The sequence below is a fragment of the Homo sapiens genome, chromosome 17 (assembly GCF_000001405.40).
Source record: "Homo sapiens chromosome 17, GRCh38.p14 Primary Assembly".
NCBI lineage: Eukaryota > Metazoa > Chordata > Mammalia > Primates > Hominidae > Homo > Homo sapiens.
Window position 1 is genome coordinate 6,981,092 of NC_000017.11, and position 4,031 is coordinate 6,985,122.

Sequence of the window (4,031 nt, forward strand, 5' to 3'; positions counted from 1 at the left end):
ACCAATACAAAGAGAGTTGCAAAGATACACAAGTATATGAGAAATGGCATCTGGCTGGGCGCGGTGGCTCATGCCTGTAATCCCAGCACTTTGGGAGGCCGAGGCGGGTGGATCACCTGAGTTCAGGAGTTCGAGACCAGCCTGGCCAACAATGGAGAAACCGTGTCTCTACTGAAAATACAAAATTAGCCAGGCGTGGTGGCACATGCCTGTAATCCCACCTACTTGGGAGGCTGAGGCAGGAGAATGGCTTGAACCCAGGAGGCGGAGGTTACAATGAGCCGAGATCACACCATTGCATCCCAGCCTGGGCAACAAGAGCGAAACTCCGTCTCAAGAAAAAAAAAAAAAAAGAAAGAAAGAAAGAAATGGCATCTATATTTTGGAAGCTGAAAGCAGATAAACAAGGGGTAATCAATTCAGCAGACCAGGGAAAGTTAAAAGTCAAATGCTTGCAGTATGTAGGAAAAGCAATAAGCACAAACCCTTAGAAAGACTCAGGAAGGGGAGTACAGCCGTTTCCCCTCATCTGTGGTTTTGCTTTCCCTGGTTTCTGTTTCCTGCAGTCAGCCACAGCCCAAAAATAGGTGAGCACAGCACAATCAGATATTTTGAGAAAGGCCACATTCACCCAACTTTTATTATAGTTAGATTGTCACAATTGTTCTATTATATTCTATTTTATTCTATTTTATATTAGTTGTTGTTGCTCCCCTCTTTTTTCAGTTTTCTTTTTTGCTTCTTTTTTTTTTTTTTTTTTTTTTTTTTGAGATGGAGTCTCGCTCTGTCACCCAGGCTGGAGTGCAATGGCATGATCTCGCTCACTGCAACCTCCACCTCCAGGGTTCAAGCGATTCTCCAGCCTCAGCCTCCCAGGTAGCTGGGACTACAGGTGCCCGCCACCATGCCCAGCTAATTATTTTTATAGTTTTTTCTTTATTTTTAATTTGCATTTATATTTGTTTATTCCTAATGTTCTTAATCTCTTACTAGGCCTAATTGATATATTAAACCTTGTCATAGAGATGTATGTACGATATAGGAAAAAATCTAGTACTGTATCCCTCAGTATCCAGGCGGAGACTGTTTCAGGACCTCCTACAGTCTAAGACAAGTCCCCCCTCTCTTGTACCAAAATCCTCAGATGCTGAATCCTCAAATGCTGTATAAAATGGTGCAGTATTTGCATTTAACTTATACACATCATCCCATACACTTTAAACCATCTCTAGATTACTTATAATACCGAATATGATGTAAATGCTATATGGAAAGTTGTAATACTATATTATTTGGGAAATAATGACAGGAAAAATTCAAAAATTTTGAATTCTGGTCAGTGCAGATGCAAATTTTTTCTAATATTTTCGATACACGGTGGGTTGGGATCTATGGGTTCTGCCCCCATGGATAAGGAGGGCTGACTGTATCTATAGATTTGGTATGTCTATGGCTTCAGGCATCCACTGGGGATCTTGGAAGTTAGAAGGTCTCCCCACTAGAAAAAGGGGGCTACTGTACCAATAACTACTGAAGGTAGGGGTACACATGAGGCTGAACACAGTAGAATTGATTGAAAGTCTACATAAAGGCCAGGCGCGGTGGCTCACGCCTGTAATCCCAGCACTTTGGGAGGTCAAGGCGGGTGGATTGCCTGAGGTCAGGAGTTTGAGACCAGCCTGGCCAACATGGTGAAACTCTGTCTGTACTTAAAATACCAAAAATTAGCTGGGCGTGGTGGCGAGCACCTGTAATCCCGGCTACTCGGGAGGCTGCGGAAGGAAAATTGCTTGAACCCAGGAGGCAGAGGTTGCAGTTAGCAGAGATCGCACCACTGCACTACAGCCTGGGGGACAAGAGCAAGACTTCGTCTCAAAAAAACAAACAAACAAAAGAAAGTCCATATAAAAAGCAAATGGCCCCCATATTCCTTTATCATCCACTAAGTCAGGCAATTCTCCCTCCTCTCCAGCAGAAGACTAGAAGTTTATCGTCTGCTAGAGCAGAGGGGGACGCTGGACTTCGGACATCAGGTAAATGTGCCCTGTGGAACAAAAGAAAATGTAACAAAAGCAACACACTGAATGGTGACTCCCCAGTCCTCTTCAAATACTGCCAATAATGCTGATGGTTGGGCATCTACACCCCAAAAGGGAAATTAGAAGGTTGGTCTCCGAAGAAACCAAGCATCCCAATAGAAAAGACCTACAAATACTGACTGTGGGAGGAACCGTGTCAATTATCAATTGACCAGATCTCTGCTCATTACATTGAAAAACCCCACCAACAGTCCGGATTATCTTTTTTTATTGCCTCACTCTTAAATAAAGTCAAGGATCAGGGGCCGGGAGCGGTGGCTCACGCCGGTAATCCCAGCACTTTGGGAGGCTGAGGCGGGTGGATCATTTGAGGTCAGGAGTTCGAGACCAGCCTGGCCACCATGGTGAAACCCCGTCTCTACTAAAAATACAAAATTAGCTGGGCGTGGTAGCACATGCCTGTAATCCCAGCTGAGGCAGGAGAACTGCTTGAACTCAGGAGATGGAGGTTGCAGTGAGCCGAGATCGCGCCCCTGCACTCTAGCCTGGCAACAGAGCCAGTCTCAAAAAAAAAAAAAAATCAAGGATCAACAGATATTTAAAAAGAGGGACTCAGAGAAAATAGGAATAATGAAGAAACAGATTTTTTAAACTATATTTACTATGTTCAGAAATACTAGAGAAGATTAGCATCTTTGAAACAAAAGCAGGATGTTTTCTGAAAGCAACAATCACAGAACAAGACAGAAAATGTTCAATAGCAAAAAAAAGTTTTAATTCAATAGAAGAGGTGGAAATTTCCAAGAAAGTGGTAAAAAAAAAAAAGAGAGAGAGAGAGAGAGGTGGAGATTATTAGAGACAATGACAATATAGGAAGTCTTTTTTTTTTTAATGGAGTCTCTTTCTGTAGCCCAGGCAGGAGTGCAGTGGCACCATCTCAGCTCACTGCAACCTCCACCTCCCGGGTTCAAGCGATTCTCCTGCCTCAGCCTCCCAAGTAGCTGGGATTACGGGGGCCCACCACCGCGCCTGGCTAATTTTTGTAGTTTTTAGTAGAGACGGGGTTTCACCATCTTGGCCAGGCTGATCTTGAACTCCTGACCTCGTGATCCACCCGCCTTGGCCTCCCAAAGTGCTGGGATTACAGGTGTGAGCCACCAGGCCCGGCCAGTATAGAAACTATTAATCAGATGTTTAAGTCACTGTATTTGGGGGAGGTTTGTTACAGAGCTTAGCCTATACCTTTACTAACAAACATACCTTCAAAACTTTGAGAGAAGTTTATTTCCCATCCAGGATTCTAGTCTTAGGCAAATTACCATCAAGTTTAAGTTGAATAGAGACAGTTTCAAATATGCAAGATGTCAAAAAATGTACCTCTTAAACACTCCTTCTCAGAAAATGACTGGAACAAAGACTAATGCCACGTGCATGTGTGTGTACGCTAGGTGCACAATAAACATATATGCCCAGGCACATCGGCTCACACCTATAATCCCAACACTGTGGGAGGCCAAGATAGGGGGATCACTTGAGGCCAGGAGTTCAAGACCAGCCTGAGCAACATAGGGTGACTTTGTCTCTACAAAAAATAAAAATAAAAAAATAATTAGCCTGGCATGGTGGTGAGGGCCTGTAGTGCCAGCAACTCGTGAGGCTCAGGTGGGAGGATCAGGTGAGCCTAGGATTTCAAGGCCATTAATGAAGAAACTAAAGAAGGAATAAATGAAGTGTATCCCTTCATTTGTTAAAGAGATAAATAATATCTACTACTTAGGGTTTTGTGGGATTAAATTGAACACATTACTTTTCTTGCTTCCATCAAAATCATACACACACACACACACACACACACACACAGCCCTGACTGTAGCCAATTGTTCTTGAGGGTAGGAAGGCAATGTATGAATCTTAAGAGAGTCAATCTGCATTTTTCAGTTTACAGACACTGGTGGAGAAGTCAGTGAAACCAGAGAACTTGACCTTGGAAAA